This window comes from Homo sapiens, chromosome 16, assembly GCF_000001405.40.
Source record: "Homo sapiens chromosome 16, GRCh38.p14 Primary Assembly".
NCBI lineage: Eukaryota > Metazoa > Chordata > Mammalia > Primates > Hominidae > Homo > Homo sapiens.
In genome coordinates, this window is record NC_000016.10 from 10,488,391 (window position 1) to 10,512,833 (window position 24,443).

The 24,443-nt window shown below is 41.3% G+C and overlaps 1 pseudogene, besides 3 other annotated features; it reads left to right on the plus strand.

Moving 5' to 3' along the window:
- Nucleotides 7,880-7,983, plus strand: RNU6-633P (RNA, U6 small nuclear 633, pseudogene; annotated as a pseudogene).
- Nucleotides 9,304-9,492: a transcriptional cis regulatory region, noted in NCBI's record as "candidate enhancer chr16.1145 targeted for multiplex CRISPR interference". NCBI's record gives its function as "positively regulates ATF7IP2 gene expression in K562 cells {active_cell/tissue: K562}" and the evidence as "EXISTENCE:mutant phenotype evidence [ECO:0000015][PMID:30612741]".
- Nucleotides 15,556-16,363: an enhancer, noted in NCBI's record as "OCT4-NANOG-H3K27ac hESC enhancer chr16:10597803-10598610 (GRCh37/hg19 assembly coordinates)". NCBI's record gives its function as "activates a minimal SCP1, AML or CMV promoter by ChIP-STARR-seq in naive H9 embryonic stem cells {active_cell/tissue: H9 hESC(naive)}" and the evidence as "EXISTENCE:reporter gene assay evidence [ECO:0000049][PMID:30033119]".
- Nucleotides 21,429-21,518: an enhancer, noted in NCBI's record as "active region_10380". NCBI's record gives its function as "activates an Ori minimal core promoter by ATAC-STARR-seq in GM12878 lymphoblastoid cells {active_cell/tissue: GM12878}" and the evidence as "EXISTENCE:reporter gene assay evidence [ECO:0000049][PMID:35858748]".

Genomic DNA, 24,443 nt, shown 5'->3' on the forward strand with positions numbered 1-24,443 from the left:
CCACTCTCCAGGCAATATAAAGGGTATGAAAGTAAAGCCGGGAGACTCAAAGATAGAAGAAAAAAAAATCTGAGAGAGAAAGAAAGAGAGAGACAGAGAGTCAAAGGGAGAGAGAGGCAGAGAGAAAGAGAGGCAAAGGGAATCAGAGTGAGAGAAAGAGTAGAAGAGAGAGAGAGAAGCAGAGAGACAGGCAAAGAGAGAAGGAGAGGCAAAGGGAGAGAAAGAGGACAAAACAAATGCTTCAAATTAAAAATAGGTCACCCTCAAAAGAGAAAGTTCCAAATAGGAAGAAGAACAAAGGTCATATATAAAAGAAAATCAGCTAATATTAAATTTCTGTTAATTCCAGAAGCAGAGACAAATCTGCTACGAAGAGGTTTGATGCTAGAATTAGGCTTAGGCCTCCAAATCAATCATGGAAAATTCCTCCCCTCCCTAAACTTGCTCACCACCGCAGACAAAGAACACATTCATCCTGAGATACCGTCAAAAGATGGGAATTGAGGAAAGTTAGATTCCTCAGATTCATGTTAAATTAAAAACCCCTGGGGAAGTAGTAAAGAGAAAGCAAGGTACCCTATTCTTTTAAAAGCCAGGATAAATTTAAAACCTATAATTGATAATTGAAGGTCTTCTCAGTGATGGGCTTCTTAAACCCCGTATGTCTCCCTAAAACACTCCAATACTGCTTGTAAAGAAGCCAGATGGGTCATACCGGTTAATGCAAGACCTTAGAGCTATTAATCAAATAGTCCAAACTACCCACCCTGTTGTTCTCAATGCTTATACTATTAACAGTAGAGTCCCATACAGTCACCAATGGTTTACAGTAATAGATTTAAAAGATGCATTCTGGGCTTGTCCGTTAGCAGAGGACAGCCGGGACCTATTTGCCTTTGAGTAAGAAGACCCTCACTCCAGTCAAAAATAGCAATACGGATAGACAGTCTTACCCCAAGGGTTTACAGAGTCTCCAAATGTCAAATATTAGAACAAGTCATTTAATTAGCAAAGGTAAACCGTACATTGAGCTTGATCGGATTGAAGGCATTATATCCTTGCCTCTGCCGGAGACTAAACAAGAACTTAGAAAATTTTAGGATTAGTCGGGTACTGTCGTCTATGGATAGGCTTTTATACAAAAAGTTCACGCAAGATGGGCCAAACCCCCCCATTTGGCAATTACCAGAAATCCAATAGGTGGAAAGGTTAAAACATCTATTAGTAACTGCCCCTGTCCTAGCTTTACCCTCTGTAAGCAGCCATTCCATCTTTTTTCAGTGTGAACAAGGGCGTAGCCTTAGAAATACCCAAAAGCACAGAGGCCACTGGCAACCCATAGCCTTCCTATCAAAAATCCTTAATCCAGTAACCCGTGGATGGCCCAAATGCATTCAATCTATAGTGGCAACTGCTGTGCTAACAGAAGAAAGTAGAAAAATAACTTTTAGAGGAATCCTCATTGTGAGCACACCTCACCAGGTCAGAACTATCCTAGGTCAAAAAACAAAGGTAGCTTACTGACTCAAGAATCTTAAATCAGGCTATTCTGTTAGAAAAAGATGATTTAACATTAACCACTGATAATTCGCTTAACCCAGCAGGTTTCCTAACAGGGGATATAAATCTAAAGAGAGAGCACACATGTTTAGATGTAATTAATTACCATACAAAGATCTGACCAGACCTAGGAGAAACTCCCTTCAGAACAGGACAACACTTATTTACAGATGGTTCCTCCCAGATGATTGAGGGAAAAAGACACAATAGGTGTTCAGTAATTGACAGAGAAACTCTTGTAGAAATAGAGTTAGGAAATTTGCCTAATAATTGGTCTGCTCAAACTTGTGAGCTGTTTGCACTCAGCCAAGCCTTAAAGCACTTACAGAACCAGGAAAGAGCCATCTATACCAATTCTAAGCATGCCTTTGGAGTGGCTCATAGATTTGGAAAAATTTGGACTGAACGAGGTCTTATTAATAGCAAAGGCCAAGACCTGGTCCCCAAGGAATTAATCACCCAAGTATTAAATAACCTTCAATTGCCAAAAGAAATAGCTATTGTCCATGTCCCCAGACACCAGAAAAAGCCTTTCTTTAATTAAAGTCCCAAATTTACAAGGTTTTCAACAAAAGGAAAGTTTGCTAAAAGTTAACAGTGTAACATGTATTATCCTAACTTTTAATCTTGTGCCGTAGGCAGTCTAGTCCACAGACATGAAGGAAGTTTGCTTTAGGAAAGAATGGTTATCATCTCTGACATTAAAAAAAAAAAAAGAATTTATGTAAAAACAATCTTATATGGTAAATTCTTGTCCTAAAATAAATTAACTGGTTGTTGAAAGAAAAGGATGTTTACAACAAGTCAGAAAGTTAAGGCATGTTAAAGATTGTCTGTGAAAGTCATGAAAAATGTTATAAAAGGGAATTTATGCCAGAAATGTTGTATAATTTAAAAGTAATTAGGCCTCCTGAATGTAAAACTATTGAAGAAACAGTTTATGTGCAAGGTGTGTAAGAAAAATAAAATATACTTTTGGTAAAAGGATTATAAGGTGGCATAAGAATGTGGATTTTTACCTACATTAAAAGTTTAAAAATTGTTTTGAAAATTTAAGGAAGTTTTGAAACATTAATTGTAAAGGAAATTCTGTGTGTAAACATATTAAAGTTAAAGGGGTATCATCCAGTTTTTCTGTGAACTGGGCATTAAAATAAAAGCACAACAGGTTTTTCTTAAAGCACTAACCTGGTCTTTAACAAAAATTATAAAGGGTTTAAAAGAGTCTATAAAAATCTTACCTTATGGTCAGACATTAAAATTGCATAAATATGTCACAAGGTTTTATTAAAATTGAGTTTAACATTAATAGCACATTAATATAAAGGTGAAATGTAGCTTATCCAGTATAAAATCATACAGGAAGCACTGTCAAATATAAAATGCTGTTTGGCTTTCTTTGGTCTAAAAACTAATAAAAATAGGTGCTAAAGAGAATTCAGAAAGAAAATGGATATTGCCAGACCAGAAAGAAATGTTATCCAAACCCCTTATGAGGAAAATCTTGTTCCAACTGCATCAAGGGAACCATTGGGGGCCCCAGGTCATGTGTGACGCAGTCCTCAGAGTTTATGGGTGGATAGAAATTTATACCCTGGCCAAATGGGTTACAGAAAGTTGCACAGTAAAAGCTTCCCCTTTAGGGAAAGGAGTCCAGGCTTAAGGCCATTCCAAAGTATCCAGATTGATTACACAGAGATGCCTCCAACTGGTCATCTAAAGTATTTATTAGTAATAGTAGATCACCTTATTCATTGGGTAGAAGCTATTTCCTTTTCAAGTACAACTGCTAATAATGTAGTCAAGGCATTAGTTGAAAATATTGTACCCATGTTTAGATTATTAGAAAACATTGATTCAGATAATAGGATTCATTTCACTGCACATGTCATTAAGAAATTAGCACAGGTACCAGATATAACATGGGAAGATACTCCTTGACACCCACCTTCATCAGGGAAAGTAGAAAGGCCTATTACCCTGTTGAGAGTCTGAACTGCTCCCCCCAAAGACATAGGCCTATCCCCTCATGAGATGCTTTATGGATTGCCTTATCTACATTCTATTACTGATCTTCCTACATTTGAAACAAACAATCAGTTTCTCAGAAATTATATACTTGGTTTACCTTCCACTGTCTCTTCCCCCAGAACTAAAGGTCTTTTAGCACAGGTGCCACCCCTAGAGTTTCCAGTACACCACCATCAGCCTGAGGACCACGACCTCGTCAAAAGTTGGATGGAGGGAAAACTCAAACTGGCTTGGGAAGGACCCTACCTAGTGCTGCAAACCACCGAGATCTCAGTTCGAAAAGCAGAAAACGGATGGACTCATCACACCTGGGTCAAAAGAACAACACCCCCTCCAAAATCACAGACAGCTATTCCAAGGCCAATTCCAAGGAAGCTAAAGCTAAAACGGGGTTGATCCTCTTATATTGCATCTCTTTCTTTTCCCCTCCTATTGCTAGTCCTCTCGTTATTAATGTAACTAGGTCGAGTTCACCCCAAACTATTACTTTTGATGCTTGCCTTGTGATGCCCTGTGGAGATTTGCCAAACCAGAGGCAACTCTCCACTTCAGAAAAGTATTTTTATCCTTCCTAGCTCTCCTTAGACCGGAAATCTGTTAACTGGGATAAGTTAGTTTGGGAAGAGTTTGACGAAGATTTCCAGTATAAACTGGGAATCCCGTCCTCCTAGAGAAGAGCTTCTCTGCCGAAGTTGGTCCAATGCTTTACAAAATACTAAAGAGCAAGGATGGACCGCCCCAACTAGTACTTGCAGCTTCTTAAAACCATATGTTCATTTTACTAAAGAAGTTACCCTCCCCATTGTCAGCTGAACCAGTATAATCCAGTACAGATGACCATCTCTGCTCCCCAGAGGTCTTCCCCTTCATTAAGCTGTTTCTATGATATAGGAACAGAAGTCTCAGGGAAGGACCCCATAAGATCCTTTGAAATGTGCTTCACTGCCTCCTCACCTCCTGCACGGCCTTCTCCCTCTCCTAAGTTCTCTGCTAAACAAACCTTCTCTTGTTATATACCCAGTGATAGGATCAAAGTGGACGTTGAGGAAGTAAATGATTTAAAACAAACTTTAGCAATAGAGACAGGATATCAACATGCAAATGCCTAGTTGGAATGGATCCGATATTCTGTTCGCACGCTAAACAAAAGCAATTGTTATGCCTGGGCACACAACAGGCCAGAGGCCCAGATTGTCTGCTTTCCACTAGGATGGTCCTCCAGTCGACCAGGCATGGGCTCTATGGTAGCTCTTTTCCAGGATCCCACAGCCTGGGGTAGCAAGTCGTGCCAAGCTGTCTCTCTGCTATATCCCGAAGTCCGACACCCTGCTGGTCAGCCTCTGAGGGCCATCCAGCCTCCATCTCCCAACACTAAGTTCACTTCGTGTCTTTCACGACAAGGAGGGAACTTATTCCTTGGAGACCTGAAAGGACACGAGACTTTTCAGGAGCTTACCAATCAGTCAGCCTTAGTCATCCCCGAGCAGATGTGTGGCAGTATTGTGGTGGACCTTTACTGGACACTCTGCCAAGTAACTGGAGCGGGACTTGTGCTCTAGTCCAACTGGCTATCCCTTTCACCCTGGCATTTCATCAACCAGAGAGAGGGAAAACACAACATCGTAAAACAAGGGAAGACCCTTATGGGTCTTTCAACTCTCATGTTTATTTAGATGCAGCTAGAGTCCCACAAGGAGTACTAGATAAATTTAAAGCTCAAGATCAAATAGCTGCAGGAGTTGAGTCAATATTTTGGTGGGTGCCAATAAGAATGTAGACTGGATAAATTACATTTATTACAACAAACAGCAGTTTATTAACTACACTAGAGATGCTGTTAAACGAATAGCTGAGCAATTAGGGGCTACCAGCCAGATAGCTTGGGAAAATAGAATAGACTTAGATATGATATTAGCAGAAAGAGGAGGAGTTTGTGTCATGATTAAAACTCAGTATTGTAGTTGCCAGGCACGGTGGCTCATGCCTGTAATCCCAGCACTTTGGGAGGCCAAGGTGGGTGGATCATGAGATCAGGAGTTCAAGACCAGCCTGACCAATATGATGAAACCCCGTCTCTACTAAAAATACAAAAATTAGCTGGGTATGGTGATGTGCACCTGTAATCCCAGCTACCCAGGAGGCTGAGGCAGGAGAATTGCTTGGAGCCAGGAGATGGAGGTTGCAGTGAGCTGAGATCACGCCATTGCACTCCAGCCTGGGCAACAGAGCAAAAGCAAGACTCCATCTCAAATAAAAAAACAAACAAACAACAAAACAAAACAAAAAAACCCTCAATATTGTACCTTCATCCCAAACAATACCGCCCCTGATGGAAGTATAACAAAGGCATTGCAAAGTCTAACTGCTCTGTCCAATGAATTAGCCAAAAACTCAGGAGTAAATAACCATTTCTCAGGGCGGCTAGAAAGGTGGTTCGGTAAATGGAAAGAAATCATAGCCTCAATTCTTACTTCTCTTGCAGCTGTAATAGGTGTACTCATTCTTGTTGGGTGCTGTGTCATACCATGCATCCGTGGGCTGGTGCAGAGAGTCATAGAGACAGCACTTACTAAAACCTCCCTTAACTCTCCTCCACTTTATTCAGAGAAGCTTCTTCTTTTAGAGAATCAGGCAGAACAACTAACCCAAGACACGTTAAGGAAGTTTGAAGAGAAAGTAAAATTCAAGAGGATGAAGTTGTTGAATACAGTGAGTTCTAAATTTCTCTTCAAAGAATCAGTATGTCAGTATGTTCAGTTCTTTATTCTCCATTTTATAGTTTAACTTCCTCATTCTCCTCACCCCTAGTTTCAGTAGACAACCTTTTCCAGTTTTAATCAGTAGTTCACATCTGTTCCCCTGGTCACCTGCTCCATCCTGAGTCACCCCTGGTCACCTGCTGTGTCCCGAATTATCCTGAGTCACCTGTTCTGTAACTGCCCTTCCTGCCAAACTACTTACTCCACCACTCCAGTTCATACCCCTGCTCTCTTTAAAATAGCCAGTCAGAATCAGCTTAGACTGTGAGGTCCAACCCTAGCCAATAGGGGACGTGGCAGTAGGGGCTACCTGCGTCAGGAATAAAAACCCCTTCTCCTCCCTTGTTCAGGTGCGCTCTCGCCATTGCTCCATCCGTGAGTCACACCCTTCTATAGAAGTAAAATTGCCTTGCTGAGAAAATTAAATTTATGTTCCAGTGCTATTTCTTTTGCAGCACCAAAAAATTATTTGTAACTTTCTGTAGCTCCCTGCCTGAGACAACGGGGACTCCCAGGACACAGGAAGAACAACCTTGCTCTGAGGAATTGAGGAGGGCAGTAGCTTCCCAACCTATCCTGGAAAGCAGCATATCTCATTTACTGGTGTGTGCTAGAATATGGACTTCACAAATACACCCTTGGGTCTGAAAGTCAGTTCCAGCACTTATTAACTGGTTTGGGCAACACGTTTTATGTCTCCGAGCCTTCTTTTTCTCTATGTACAAAATGTAGGCAGTACTGGCCACCTACATTTTGTAATAGTTTCCTTCCCTTCTGTGCCCTTCTCCTCTTTTCTTTCCCCCTTCTTTCCTCCCTCCTTCTCCCTCTTTTTCTCTGTTTCTTTTTCCATAATTAACTGGTTATTCTTCTATTAAGAGGTAGACTAGGCCAGGTGTGGTGGCTCATGCCTGTAATCCCAGCACTTTGGGAGGCTGGGGCAGGCAGATCACCTGAGGTCAGGAGTTCGAGACCAGCCTGGCCAACATGGCGAAACCCCATCTCCATTGAAAAAAATACAAAAGTTAGCCAGGCGTGGTGGCACACATCTGTAATCCCAGATACTCGGGAGGCTGAGGTGGAGAATCGCTTGAACCCGGGAGGCAGAGGTTGCAGTGAGCTGAGATCATGCCACTGCACTCCAGCCTGGGTGACAAGAGCGAAACTCTGTCTCAAAAAATAAAAATAAAAATAAAAGTGAGACTAAGAATCCTGATAGATACATACAGTGCCACTGTAAGGAATAAATGAGTGTGGTAAATTCTTATAATTTTATGGTTCTATTTGCTTTTTTTATTTCAATAGTTTTTGGGGTATAGGTAGTTTTTGGTTACATGGATGAAGTCTTTAGTGGCGAATTCTGAGATTTTATTATACCTGTCATTTGAGCAGTGTACACTGTACCCAGTATGTAGTCTTTTATCTCTCCCACCTCCCAATGTCACCCCACCCCAAGTCCCCAAAGTCCATTATGTCACTCCATATGTTTTTGCATCCTTATACCTTAGCTTCCACTTAAAAGTAAGAACAGGGCTTGCTTTGGCAGCACATATACCAAAATTGGAATGATACAGAGAAGATTAGCATGGCCCCTGTGCAAGAATAATACACAAATTCGTGAAGCATTCCATATTTTTTTGGCTGGGTATGGTGACGCATGCCTGTAATCCCAGCACTTTGGAAGGCCAAGGTGGGTGGATTGCTTGAGGTCAGGAGTTCAAGACCAGCCTAACCAACATGGTGAAACCCTGTCTCTACTAAAAATACAAAAATCAGCCGAGTGTGATGGCACACACCTGTAATCCCAGCTACTTGGCAGGCTGAGGCAGGAGAATCACTTGAAGCCGGGAGGCGGAGGTTGCAGTGAGCCAAGATTGCCCCACTGCACTCCAGCCCAGGTGACACAGTGAGACTCTAGATCAAAAAAAAAAAAAAAAAAAAAAAAAGGAAGAACATACAGTATTTGGTTTTCCATTCCTGTTACTTCACATAGAATAATGACCTCCAGCTCCATCCAAGTTGCTGCAAAAGACATTGTTTTGTTCCTTTTTATGACTGAGTATTCTATGGTGTATATACACCACATTTTCTTTATTTACTCCTTGGTCAATGGGCATGTAGTTTGGTTTCATATCTTTGCAATTGCAAATTGTGCTGCTATAAACATGTATGCATATGTCTTTTTCAAATGACTTTTCTTCCTTTGTGTAGATACCCAGTAGTGGGATTGCTGGATCAAATGGTAGGTCTACTTTTAGTTCTTTGAGGCACACTGTTTTACAAAGTAGTTGTACTAATTTACATCGCCATCAGCAGTGTAAACGTGTTCCCTTTTCACCACATCCATGCCAATATCTATTGTTTTTTGACTCTAATTATGGCCATTCTTGCAGGAGTAAGGTGGAATCTCATTGTGGTTTTAATTTGCGTTTGTATGGCTCCATTTTGAATACAAGTTACACTTTCCCATACCAGAAGCAGGGCTTAGTTCCAATTTGCAGTTCTCCACCTCCTCCCAGTTCCTCAGTGTCATCCATCCAGATGTCTGCCCTATCCTGGTGACCACCCCACCATGGGATAGCTAGATATAACCTGCCTGACTCACTCCAGTGAACCCCACAGCCTGCCTGTGCTGTGCAGATATGCCGCAGTGATCACCTCTCAATTACAGCCCGACCCGTGCCTGCTTGCTTTAAACCAGGGCTGTCCAACCTTTTGGCTTCCCTGGGCCACATGGGAAGAAGAGGAGTCATCTTGGGCCACACATAAAATACACTAATGCTAATGAAAGCTGATGAGCTAAACAAAAAAAAAAAAATACAAAAAAAATACAAAAAAATCTCAGTGTCTTAAGAAAGTTTACGAATTTGTATTGGGCCACATTCCAAGCCATCCGAGGCCACATGCAGCCTGTGGGCCGTGAGTTGGTCAAGCTTGCTTTAAAGCCACCAGTGGGAACTCCTCACAGGAAACTTGCTGGGGTGATTCCCTGGACCCAAGTAAAGGCTTTAGTCCTGCAGATCCTTCTCTCTCTTGCTCCCCACCCACTGGATGAGCTCCCTGCTGCCTTTGGACGTCCCGTCAACCCTGTGGTCACCACTCTTCTCTCTGGACCTGTGAGTCAGAAAGCGCTGCTGTGGTTTCCTGTGTTTTGTTGCACTGCCAGCTCTGTGTCTCACCTGACCCACACACCTGAGCCTGACTCTCCTCCTGGTCAGGGCTCTCCTCCCAGAAAGTGGCCGTGTTGGTAAGAACAAACTGGACACAGGTCAGCACCAGCAAAAGGGTGTCTTCCAGTACGAACAAGTCATGTGGGAGAGGAACACCTGGTAACCAGCTGGACACAGGCTTTAGGTCGTCCACCAGAAAAAGAAGAATCCCATGAAAGGCACGTTCCAAACGCCCACTTCTCCTGGAGTCCCATCAGGACAGGGCTAGAGTTTATAGATCCTTGACCAAGAGAGACTTCAAGACCAAGTCAGAGCAAAATCCCAACAATGAGATAACGTAAAATACCTAGGACAAAGCAAAAATGCTAGGGGAGGCAGAGAATGAAAAATACCTTGTTTCCTAACTGCTGATTTACTAAGACAAGAGGGTCAACAGGAGACGGCAAGTCACTCAGAAGTAGTCATGGAGATAAATATATATATAACTGATTTATTTTTATATATAATAAAAATAAATAAAAGATATATATTATATAACATATATCATTTATTTTACATAGCACTTATTATATATCACTTATGTATTTTATATATAATAAAAATAAATAAAATATATAATTATATATCTCTTATTTTATTTATAAAAATAGAAGATATATAACTATACATAATATATAAAGATATATATCATTGAATTATATATATAATATATATTATCTATTTTATATATATATAATTTATATATATATAATTATATATAATATATATTATATATATTATATATATATTATAAATATATATTACATTATAAATATATTATATATTATAAATATATATTATAAATATATTATATATTATAAATATATATTATAAATATATTATATATTATAAATATATATTATAAATATATTATATATTATAAATATATATTATAAATATATATTATAAATATATATTATAAATATATTATATATTATAAATATATATTATAAATATATATTATAAATATATTATATATTATAAATATATATTATAAATATATATTTATAATATATATTATAAATATATATTATAAATATATATTATAAATATATATTATAAATATATATTATAAATATATATTATAAATATATTATAAATATATATTATAAATATATATTATAAATATATTATATATTATAAATATATATTATAAATATATTATATATTATAAATATATATTATAAATATATTATATATTATAAATATATATTATAAATATATTATATATTATAAATATATATTATAAATATATTATATATTATAAATATATATTATAAATATATTATATATTATAAATATATATTATAAATATATTATATATTATAAATATATATTATAAATATATTATATATAAATATATATTATAAATATATTATATATAAATATATATTATATATTATAAATATATTATATATAAATATATATTATATATTATAAATATATTATATATAAATATATATTATATATTATAAATATATTATATATAAATATATATTATATATTATAAATATATTATATATAAATATATATTATATATTATAAATATATTATATATAAATATATATTATATATTATAAATATATTATATATAAATATATATTATATATTATAAATATATTATATATAAATATATATTATATATTATAAATATATTATATATAAATATATATTATATATTATAAATATATTATATATAAATATATATTATATATTATAAATATATTATATATAAATATATATTATATATTATAAATATATTATATATAAATATATATTATATATTATAAATATATTATATATAAATATATATTATATATTATATTATTATTCTATATGTTGGGATTTTTATATAATATATAATAGATAACACATATATATATTATATATGTTGGGATTTTTATATATTATATATAATAAAGATATATATCTGTTATTTATTTTTATATATAAAAATAAATGATATATATATTTATCTCCAGGACTACTTCTGAGTGATTTGCCATCTTCTGTTGATATATAATATATGTAATGTTATATTTTTATATAATATAAAGATATATATAAATTAAATATATATATATATTTTATTTATTTGTTTTTGAGACAGGGTGTCTCACTCTGTTGCCCCGGCTGGAGTGCAGTGGTACAATCTTGGCTCACTGTAGCTTTGACCTCCCAGGCTCAAGGAAACCTTTCACCCGCCAAGTAGCTGGAATTACAGGTGCGCACCACCGTGCCCAGCTAATTTTTATATTTTTTGTAGAGATGCGGTTTCACCATGTTGGCCAGGCTGATCTTGAACTCCTGAGCTCAAGCAATCCACCTGCCTCGGACTCTTAATTTTCTGGGATGACAGATGTGCTTGGCCTCTCTCTCTTTTTTTTTTTTTTTTGTTTTGAGACAGAGTCTCGCTCTGTTGCCCAGGCTGGAGTGCAGTGGCACGATCTCAGCTCACTTCAAGCTCCACCTCCCAGGTTCATGCCATTCTCCTGCCTCAGCCTCCCAAATAGCTGGGACTACAGGTGCCTGCCACCATGCCCAGCTAATTTCTTTGCATTTTTAGTAGAGACGGGATTTCACCGTGTTAGCCAGGATCTCCTGACCTTGTGATCCGCCCACCTCAGCCTCCCAAAGTGCTAGGATTACAGGCGTGAGCCACCGCACCCAGCAGCCTCTTCTCAAAAAAATCACAATATGTGAACATATTCCCAATAGAAAATTATTTTATAAATATAGCACTTAAAAAAAAATCAAAAGTCTCATTTTAGCACCAGTCACTCCCAACTCAGACTTTCCATGGCAGGCCAGGTCTCATTAACATAGGCCTCCATAACTGTCTCAGCACTGACTGAGTGGTTAAAAGCTGAGAGAGCCAGTGCCCTTATTCAAAGGCTGGAATGTAACAAAAGTCCACCAAGAGTTTTGCCTAGGCTTTTCCTGGGCCTTATAAAGCATGACAAGATAACGAAGGAATTCTTAATGGGACCTGTTTAGGATTAAACAAGTTTCATTGGGGGTCTGAAAAAACTCCCCAGGCCTCCAATGAAGAAGTTTATTGGGGGTCCTGTTAGAGCAGTGGGAGAGAAGAGAAGGAAGACGAAACAAGAGAGTGGCTCAAACACTTGAGACTGGTTTATTGAGAGTAAACCTGAGAAGGGCTTCTGGCTGGCAGGATCAGGAGCAAACTTCTCTTACAGCCTGAGGCATTTAAAAAGGGCCCAGTGGGGGCAGTGTGCTCTGGGTGTGGTTCCTATGGGGGAGGGGTTAGGGGAGTGCTGGCTGGTTGGGACTGCTGGGGACTTTGATAAGCTTGCTTAGGGTTGTTATGCTCTGTTGAAGATATAGGTGGGGCTGACTTTTGCAGTTTGGTCAGGTGGCAATGGACAGTTCTGAGAAATGGAAACTTGATAGTTTAAGGTGGTGGAGTCTTGTTAAGATGGTGGTACTCTTGTCCCATCAGGTCTGAAGGAATTCCCCAAACCTCCATGATTTAGCAGGAGACAAGATAAGGGTAATCACCCCAGCACCTGGAGCCATTTAGATTAAGTAAATTTATAGAGGAAGGTCTTCAGGATTGAGACCTTAGTTATAGATTAAAAGAAGTTAGCTGGGTGCGGTGGCTCAAGCCTGTAATCCCAGCACTTTGGGAGGCTGAGGTGGGTGCATTACCTGAGTTCAGGAGTTGGAGACCAGCCTGGCCAACATGGTGAAACCCTGTCTCTACTAAAAATGCAAAAATTAGCCGGGCATGGTGGCACGTGCCTGTAATCACAGCTGCTTGGGTGGCTGAGGCAGGAAAATCACTTGAACCTAGGAGGCAGAGGTTGCAGTGAGCCAAGATAGCGCTCCTGTACTCCAGCCTGGGTGACAGAGCAAGACTCTGTCTCAAAAAAAAAAAAAAGAAAAAAGAAAAAAAGTTAATCACTTATGTCTTCAGATGAATGTAGACTTACATGTAGACATATAGGTTAGAAGGTATATAAGCACTGGAAAACTTTCTAATTTTGAGTTAGTCTGGTGATATTTTCCAGGTCTTCTCCCTGTAACCAGTTACCCAAATAAAAATTCCCTCCTTTCCCAGTTCATCTGCATGTTGTTATTGGGCCACTGGAATAAGCAGCCCGACCCTCAGTTTGGTCTGGGAACATTTCTGCTGAGGAGGCAACTACTCTTACCAGTTGGGTATATTTTCTTCCAGGCTTTTCAGGGCAGTTATCGGTGTAGAATCCTGACAGATTGCTCTCAAGGCTTCACCACTCCACACTTCCAACAGAGAATGGCGTGTGCCTTCCCCATCACTGGTTTTTTATTGTCAATAAAGTGAGGCAAAATTTTAAATCTGATGAAATTCTGTGTCTGTGTCAGAGATGTATGAAACAGAGCAACCCCATCTTGAACAGGGGCTGGGTAAAATGAGACTGAGACCTACTGGGCTGCATTCCCAGGAGGTTAAGGCACTCTTAGTCACAGGATGAGATAGGTCAGCACAAGATACAGGTCACAAAGACCTGGCTGTTAAAACAGCATGCACTAGGGCCAGGCGCGGTGGCTCACACCTGTAATCCCAGCACTTCTGGAGGCCGAGGCGGGCGGATCACGACGTCAGAGGATCGAGACCATCCTGGCTAACACGGTGAAACCCCGTCTCTACTAAAAATACAAAATATTAGCCGGGCGAGGTGGCGGGCGCCTGTAGTCCCAGCTACTCGGGAGGCTGAGGCAGGAGAATGGCGTGAACCCAGAGGGGCAGAGCCTGCAGTGAGCCGAGATCGCGCCACAGCACTCCAGCCTGGGCGAGAGCGAGACTTGGTCTCCAAAAAAAGAAAAAAAAAAAAACAAAAACAAAAAGCAGCATGCGTTAAAGAAGCTGGCCAAAACCCCACCAGAAACAAGAGGACCACGAAAGTGGCCTCTGGTCACCCTCATCACTCATTATACGCTAATTATAACACATTAGCATGCTAAAAGACACTCCACCAACACCGTGACAGTTTACAAATGCCATGGCAACGCCAAGGAATTACCCTATATGGTCTAAAAGGGGAAGGAACCCTCAGTTTCAGGAATTCCCAGAAAACTCATGAATAATCTACCCCTTGTTTAGCATATAATTGAGAAATAACTGTAAGTATTCCCATTTGACCAACCCATGCCACTGCTCTGCCTATGGAGTAGTCTTTTTTTTTTTTTTTTTAAATTGAGACAGAGTCTCGCTCTGTCACCCAGGCTGGAGTGCGGGGGTGTGATCTCAGCTCACTGAAACCTCTGCCTCCCGGGTTCAAGCAATTCTTCTGTCTCAGCCTCCCGAGTAGCTGGGACTACAGGTGCCTGCCACCATGCCTGGCTAATTTTTGTATTTTTAGTAGAGATGGGGTTTCACCATATTGGCCAGGCTGGTCTCAACCTCCTCACCTTGTGATCCACCGGCCTCGGCCTCCTAAAGTGCTGGGATTACAGGTGTGAGCCACCGCGCCCAGCCAGAGTAGTCATCTTTCATTCCTTTATTTCTCTAATAAACTTGCTCTCACTTCTTTTTCACACGAGGTCCAAGAACCCTCTCTTGGGGTCTGGATTGGGACCCCTTTCCAGTGACATCCGCTCTAGACTAATCTTATGTCCTGTGGTTGATGAATCGGGAATCTCTGGTGAATAGGAAAAATTGTTGGATTGGGAGGAGATTCTGGTTTCTGGTTTCCCTGGCTCTCATTTAATATGTAACCCTGAGTAGGTAGCTTTCCCTTCCTAAATCAGTTTCCTCAACTATAATGAGAGGATTTAGATCTCCAAAGTCTCTTTTAGTTCAGACTCTCAAAAAAATCCAAAACACACAGCCAGGCGCAGTGGCTCACGAAGTCAGGAGATCGAGACCATTCTGGCCAACATGGTGAAACCCCATCTTTACTAAAAATACAAAAATTAGCCAGGCATGCGTGGTCATGGACACCTCTAGTCCCAGCTACTCAGGAGGCTGAGGCAGGAGAATTGCTTGAAACTGGGAGGCGGAGGTTGCAGCAGTGAGCCGACATCGCACCACTGCACTCCAGCCTGGGTGACAGAGCAAGACTCCATCTCAAAAAAAAAAAAAAATCCAAAACACACAAGTTATATCAGAGCTGGAAGAATCTGGGAACTCTTACTTTGGGAGATTTGGGTGAGGTTCTTATGGTCTCCTTCACAGTTTGTTTATTTCAGTTCAATCTGATAGATTCTACCCTCAGACTCTATTTATAGTGATTACTGTGTGAAAGGAAAATACATCTCGGGACCCCAAAAATCACTAAGCAAAAGGGAAAAGTCAAGCTGGGAACTATGTCAGGCAAACCTGCCTCCCATTTTATTCCTAAATAACATAGCTACAAAGGTTTGACAACAACAGCAAAAAAAAAAAAAAAAAAAAGCTGCATACCTCCCTCACAAGTTTCCCAGAAGGAAATTCCTTGTGGACAAGGGACAGACAGAACTCAAAGTCTTCCTTCTGCTCACTTGAGACAAATGCCTATCTGATTGCTTCCTCTGCCCTATTGTTTCACTAAACCAGACTAAGGCCTAAGTGACTATTCCTCTACCCTCCTCTCACATGTAAATTGCATATTCAGTGGGAGGCTAATCAGAGACTCAAAGGAATGCACCCCTTGTCTCTCATCTACCTATGACCTGGAAATTCCCACCCTACACCCAGTTGTCCCAATGTCAGAGATGATAAATTAATCTTCAAAAAGCTTTAGTTCTCTGTTCTTTGTTTCTTATGACCAACTTCCTTGTACTTCCTTGTCTCCTAGCTACCTGTTCTGTAAACAACCTTCTCGCCTTTGCGGTGCTTAGATAGACAAGTCCTTCTGGCCTAGTAAAGGACAGTCCCTCTTCCTTCCCATCTAATAGACCCTATTCAGTTTAAACCTTAGCTTAGATTGTGAAGTCCAACCTCAGCCAATGGGGAAAGGACACAGAAGTGCTAGGAACTGCGTTAGGGATAAAACCCCTGCCCTCCCCCGCTCAGTGTGCTCTTGCAGTCATGACTGGTGCAAGCTGCACCTTTCTGCAGAAGTAAATTTGGCTTGCTGAGAAATCTTTTGTTTGAGTGCTCATTTTCTTTATGACTCTGAGCTCTTATTTCTAACACCACCTTTCCAGGCCAAACCAATGTACATCGTACACATATTGATTGATGTCTCATATCTCCCTAAAATGTATAAATCCAAGCTGTGCCCCAACCACAGTAGGCACGTGTCATCTGGACTTCCTAATGTTAGAGGTGTGTGAACCAGAGCAACTCCATCTTCATAGGGGCTGGGTGAAATAAGGCTGAGACCTTCTGGGCTGCATTCACAGACTAAGTCGTTCTAAGTCACAGGACAACACAGGAGATCAGCACAAGATACAGGTCATAAAGACCTTGCTGTTAAAACAGATTGCAGGAAAGAAGCCGGCTAAAACCCAACAAAACCAAGATGGCTACAAGAGTGACCTCTGGTCATCCTCATTGCTACACTCCCACCAGTGCCGTGAGAGCTTACAAATGCCATGGAAATGTCAGCAAGTTACTGTCAGGCCTCTGAGCCCAAACCTGCATGTATTCATCCAGATGGCCTGAAGAATCACAAAAGAAGTGAAAATGGCCTGTTCCTACCTTAACTGACAATATTACCTTGTGAAATTCCTTCTCCTGGCTCATCCTGGCTCAAAAGCTCCCCCACTGAGCACCTTGTGACCCCCACCCCTGCCAGCCAGAGAACAACCCCCTTTGACTGTAATTTTCCACTACCTACCCAAATCCTATAAAACAGCCCCACCTCTATCTCCCTTCGCTTCAGCCCACCTGCACCCAGGTGATTAAAAAGCTTTATTGCTCACACAAAGCCTGTGTGGTGGTCTCTGCACACAGACACGCATGAAAGTTACCCTATATGGTCTAAAAAAGGGGAGGCATGAATAATCCACCCCTTGTTTAGCATATAATCAAGAAATAACCATAAAAATGGGCAACCAGACAGGTGCAGTGGCTCATGCCTGTAATCCCAGCACTTTGGGAGGTCGAGGCGGGTGGGTCACCTGAGGTCAGGAGTTTGAGACCAGCTTGGCCAATATGGTGAAACCCCGTTTCTACTAAAAATACAAAAATTAGCTGGGTATGATGGCATATGTGCCTGTAGTCCCAGCTACTTGGGAAGCTGAGGCAGGAGAATCGTGCCATTGCAGTCCAGCCTGGGTGACAGAGCAAGACTCTGTCTCAAAAAAAAAAAAGGGGGGGCAACCAGCAGCCATCAGGGTTGTTCTGTCTATGGAGTAGCCATTCTTTTATTCCCTTACTTTCCTAATAAACTTGCTTTTACTTTAATCTGTGGACTCACCCTGAATTCTTTCTTGTGTGGAGTCCAAGAACCCTCTCTTGGGGTCTGGATCGGGACCGCTTTCCTGTAACACCGAGGCTGTGTGTCACAGGAATATCCTTAACCTTGGCAAAACACACTTTCTAAATCGATTGAGATCTGTCTTTCATACTTTTGGGTTCACAACTGAAATGTGCAGTGAGACTTATTTTATACCATATTATTTTGTGTATTTTCTTTGTTTATTATCCTTTTTGTTTGCTTATTTTTCTCCTTCTATTCCTTCTGTTGAAACGTTTCCTTTCTTCCTTCTTCCTTCTGCTTGTTTACAGTAATTTCATTGTTTTTCTGTTCTTTCAGTGACTTCCCTCAAATGTCAACATACATTACTTTTTTTTTTTTTTTTTTCGAGACAGAGTCTTCCTCTGTCACCCAGGCTGGAGTGCAGTGGTGCGAGCTTGGCTCACTGCAACCTCTGCCTCCCAGGTTCAAGCGATTCTCCTGCTTCAGCCTCTGGAGTAGCTGGGATTACAGGCATGTGCCTCCATGCCCGGCTAATTTTGTATTTTTTAGTAGAGACGGGGTCTCTCCATGTTGGTCAGGCTGGTCTCGAACTCCCGACCTCAGGTGATCCGCCCGCCTCGGTCTCCCAAAGTGCTGGGATTACAGGCGTGAGCCACCATGCCCGGCCAACAATTTTCAACTCGTGTCAACCTTGTGTCATCTAAACCCTGTATACCTTCTCAGCTCCCATCAGGCACTGAATTATTATGATGCAGATCTGTGATATGTCATTTTATTCATAATGTTTTAATATCAACATACATTCAAAACCTTTTTTCCCAACAAAGTCTAATCCATATCTCTGACATCCTTCCAATCAAGAAAAGGATCTTACAAGAAAATGCCTTAACTACAGGTTGCCTACCCCAGATAAACACCTACTGCCTGATTGATTGATTGAGACAGAGTTTTCCGCTCTTGTTGCCCAGGCTGGAGTGCAGTGGTGCAATCTTGGCTCACTGCAACCTCTGCCTCCCGGGTTCAAGCAATTCTCCTGCCTCAGCCTCCTGCACAGCTTGGATTACAGGCATGTGTCACCATGCCCAGCTAATTTTTTGTATTTAGTAGAGACGGGATTTTACCATGTTGGTCAGGCTGGTCTCGAACTCTTGACCTCAGGTAATCCACCCGCCTCAGCCTCCCAAAGTGCTGGGATTACAGGTGTGAGCCACTGCACCCAGCCTATTTGTTATTTTTATCAATAAGTTTAGACCCATCTTTTAAAAGCAAAAAGAGCTCATTACGGCTGTTTCCAGTCAATAATTGTTTAATTTACTGGCATTTTTATCATATTTCTGTATTCACCATTTTTCTTGCATCCCACACTTTTTCTTTCAATGAGGGGCTATAGGTGTTAAATTCTCTGATTGTGGGTGTATCTGATATATCTTTATTCCACCCTCAATCTCGAACTATGGTTCCAGGAATTGCCAGATTCTACTCATTAATGGATATTTAACAAATTCTGCAATATTCTCTTTACCATCAGCCTTGGCTCCAAACTGCTTTAACTTGGAAAGATATCCAGTCTCTTTACCCTCACTTCTTCCAAACTTCCACAATTCTCTTGCTCTCTTTCCTTAGAGAAGTGCAAGAACTCAATGCAGAACCTATCAATGTATAGACTTTAAGATGAGGTGGCACAGAAGAACAATAAGGGGGGATAGGTTCACATTAAATACAGATAAGTAAAGCTTAAGCAGGATTTTTGGAAAACAGAGACAATGCTAGAGTAACAGGTTTAGTTGCCAAAGGATTTCTCTCTACCCATCTCAGCAAGAGAGAATCAGGTCTCCTGAGATTAATTGGTTTTATTTAATTAATTTATTTTTTAAGATGGAGTCTCAGTCTGTCACCCAGGCTGGAGTGCAGTGGTGCGATCTCGGCTCACTGCAATCTCCGCCTCCCAGGTTCAGGTGATCCTGCCTTAGCCTCCCGAGTAGCTGGGACTACAGGCACACACACCACCAAACCTGGCTAATTTTTGTATTTTTTTAGTGGAGTCGGGGTTTCACCATGTTGTCCAGGCTCCTCTTGAACTCCTGACCTCAAGTGATCTGCTTGCCTCCGCCTCCCCTGAGTGCTGGGATTACAGGTGTGAGCCACCGTGCTTAATAAGTTTTAACTAAGTATTCCAGGCACAAAAAGTAGAGAGAGAAAGAGATAACAGTCAAATTAATCACCTCTAATTCTGAAATTCACACCTGATCTAGCTCTCATAGAGAAATGCTGGTCCTCAACCCTGGTCACATATCAGAATCATCTGGGAAATATTTAAAACACAAAAATGTTTTGAACAAATTCAATAATAAATCTCTGTAACTATAGGCCTCATGGAACCTATCACTTCTTCCTTTTGCTATTTTAATAAAAGATCTCAGTTTTAGAAACAATTCAGGGGTCGATTTTGGCTGTATTTGGACATTCCAAAAGTTAAAGTAATTGGTCTAGGGACATCTGAATAAGGACATCCTTTTATATTATAAAAGAACATTCTTTGGTAGTATAAGGACATCCTTGTATAATCTACCTAGGATATTCATTCAGTAATGAAGAATTTTTGACTTTTGGCCTGGCCTGTGCTAGAGTTGACCACCTTAAACTGTTAACAAAATGCAGATCCCATCAGTGAAGGTCCTGTGACAGCAAGCAAGTGTGTCGGGGGAATAACTTGCAGGAAAGATACAGGTTGATTCACAGAAAGAAAAGAATATCAGATTTTCTTTGTGATGCTCCCACTGGAATGACTTAATATGCCAATCTTTGAAACAATAATTGTGCTAGGGAAGGGGCTAAAGTGATTAACATTCCCAACTACCCCAAAGTAAGGAAAGAAATGCAAAACAGGCAAAATTAACAGGTGTGTATGCCGGGCACGGTGGCTCATGCCTGTAATCCCAGCACTTTGGGAGGCCGAAGTGGGTGGATCACCTGAGATTGGGAGTTCGAGACCAGCCTGACCAACATGGAGAAACCCCATCTCTACTAAAAAATGCAAAATTACCTGGGCGTGGTGGCACATACCTGTAATCCCAGCTACTCCGGAGGCTGAGGCAGGAGAATCACTTGAACCCAGGAGGTGGAGGTTGCAGTGAGCCGAGATCGCACCATTGCACTCCAGCCGTGGTAACAAGAGCGTAACTCCCTCTCAAAAATAAAACAAACAAACAAACAAAAAACAGGTAGTGCTATGTAAATGCTTAAACAGTTGGGGTAAGTTATTGCCACACTAGGCTGGCTGGTGGACTGATCCGGTAATTCTCCCTATTAAGTGACATGTTACTGAATAGGCCAGAGCAAAGGTGATTTGGCATCCTCTGTCGTTATTTGCAAACTTGGATCTCAATTCAGGAGCTAAGACCATGTACTTGGGTCAGGCAGCAAGCATGAGCCCGCCTGACTCTAAGTTCTTGGCTGCCACCTGGTGGTAATGTTGAAGGAACACACCACTCCCATCAACAGATTAATGTGGATGGAAGGGACTCCACTCAATACTTCATCTGGTTGCTGAGACAGGAACTGAAAATATAAACGATGATTTTTAAGGGGCACTGCTCTACAAATATGTGTAGTTCCCTTGCTAATGAAGAAAGAGAAACCCTACTCCATCATCAAGAGGCGTCCTCTGGGCCCTTCCAGCATTTATCTACATCCCGTGTGCAGCTGGTTGAACTGGGTCCCCCACCCCAAGAGATGTCTTCATCCTAGAATCTGTGAATGTGACCTTATTTGGAAAAAAGGATCGGCCAGGCACGGTGGCTCATGCCTGCTGTAATCACAGCATTTTGGGAGGCCAAGGCAGGAGGATTGCTTGTGCCCAGGAGTTTGAGACCAGCAATATAGCGAGACTCCATTTCTAAAAAAAAAATAAAAATTAGCCAGGCATGGTGGCCCACACCTGTAGTCCCAGCTACTCAGGAGGCTGAGTTGGGAGGATCACCTAAGTCCAGGAGATTGAGGCTCCATGAGCTATGATCATACCACACTGTACTCCAGCCTGGGCGACAGAGTGAGACTCTGTCTTAAAAAAGAAGAGGGGAGGGGAGGGGAGGGAAGGAGAGGGGAAGGGAGGGAAGGGGAGGAAGGGGAGGGGAGGGGATCTTCGCAGATGTGATTAAGAATCTCCAGATGAGATCATCTTGGATGATCTCAGCCCAAATTAAATGACAAGTGTCCTGATAAGAGACACACAGAGATGAGAGAGAGAAGAAATGCAATGTGAAGACAGAGGTGGAGATTGGAACAATGCAGCCAAAAGCCAGGGAATGCCTGGAGCCACCAGGAGCTAGAAGAAGCAAGGATGAGTTCTCCATGAGGGCCTCCAGAGGGGGCATAGTCCTGTGGACACTTCAGCCTCCAGAATGGCAAGAAAAATAATTTCTGTTGTGTTAAGTCACCAAGTTTATAGTATTTTTTTTTTTTTTTGAGATAGAGTCTCACTCTGTTGCCCAGGCTAGAGTACAGTGGTGCGATCTCGGCTCACTCCAACCTCTGCCTCCCGGGTTCAAGTGATTCTCCTGCCTCAGCCTCCCGAGTAACTGAAATTACAGGTGTGTGCCACCATGCTTGGCTAATTTTTGTATTTTTAGTAGAGGCGGGGTTTTGCCATGTTGGCCAGGCTGGTCTCGAATTCCTGACCTCAAGTCAACCACCCACCTCAGCCTCCCAAAGTGCTGGGATTACAGGCATGAGCCACCACGCTTGGCCATTTATAGTAATTTGTTATAGCAGCCCTAGCCTGACTAATACATTCCCTCTCCACTGGGAGCCATGGTTTGTTCAAAGAAATGATACCAGGCCCTCACCCCACATGCCATGGAGGTGGGTTCCCCTGCATACTCTTAGACACCCACATTTGCTGGGAGACATTTTACCCATCAATAACGAAGCTGCAAAGCCCTCCATCAATCCCGTCAAGAGCTCTTACCTCAATCAGATGTGCCCAGCATCATGAAAGCAGAGAGGCCTTATCCTGAATTGTCAGATGGCAGTCAAGGTTGCAAAAGCAGAGACAGACTAACGATCTTACATATTACCCATGACCACAAATCCAGGATGACAGACTGGAAGAACTGAACTGAACGTAGAGAGAAAAAAGAGGACGGGTGCGGTGGCTCATGCCTGTAATCCCAACACTTTGGGAGGTGGAGGCGGGTGGATCATTTGAGGTCAGGAGTGTGAGACCAGCCTGGCCAACATGGTGAAACCCTGTCTCTACTAAAAATTCAAAAATTAGCTGGGTGTGCTGGCGGTTGCCTGTAAGGAGCCTGAGGCAGGAGAATTACTTGAACCTAGGAGGCAGAGGTTGCAGTGAGCACTCCAGCCTAGGCGATACAGCAAGAGTCCATCTCAAAAAAAAAAAGAGACAGAGAAAGAGCCGTATAAGGAAGACAAATATAATCCTTGCAGTTCCTGCCTTTCACCCTCTTGAGACTTTGGGAGGAGGGGTGTGTATCTACCTTGATTTTCTATTGGTGTTGAAGGGGATCAGAATACATTACCCCAGAAGAGGCCACTTCGGCATAAGGATTATTTTGAGCTGAGGGCAACTGAGAAACTGCAGACAAAAAGAGCTCTCTACCCACTCCCTTTCTGCCTAAAAGCAGGGAAATTCCCCATGTAAAGATGTTTCTCTATACCAAGGCAGGGTGACTGGCACAGAGATGAGTTGGCATGACAAACATTACTAAACAACCCTTACCCACCACTTCCTAGTCATCTTTCCACAACTTACCAGCCCTAGGAACCCAAACTCTCCCTCCCTCCCTCTCTCTTTCTCAGATTCTCTGTCACCTAGGCTAGAGTGCAGTGACACAATCATGGCTCACTGCAGCCTCCAACTCTTGGGCTCAAGAGATCCCCCCACTTCAGCCTCCTGAGTATCTGCAACTACAGGCACACACCACCACTCCTGGGTAATTTTTTTTTAAAAATTGCTTTTTTTGATCATGCACAGTGGCTCATGCCTCTAATCCCAGCACTTTGGGAGGCCAAGGCAGGCAGATCACCTGAGGTCAGGAGTTCGAGACCAGCCTGGCCAACATGGTAAAACTCAGTCTCTACTAAAAATACAAAAAATTAGCCAGGCGTGGTGGCTTGTGCCTGTAGTTCCAGCTACTTGGGAGGCAGAGGCAGGAGAATTGCTTGAATCCAGAAGGCGGAGGTTGCAGTGAACCAAGATCATGCCATTGCACTCCAGCCTGGGTGACAGGGTAAGACTCCATCTCAAAAAAAAAAAAAAGGAAAATGGTATATAAGCCCCCAAGTCTAACCACTGCTTTGCATTTTTGCTCCTTTTATGTGAAGCCCCATGCATGTAAAAATATTAAAATTTGTATGTCTTTCCTCCTGTTCATCTACCTGTTGTCAGTTTAACTTACAGACTCCAGTCACAGAATCTAACAGGATAAATGAAGTTTTTCCTCTCCTGCAATTGAACTACGAGTGGTGGGACTGTGTCGGGGGAAGAACCCTCTCTACTGGAATCCAAACAT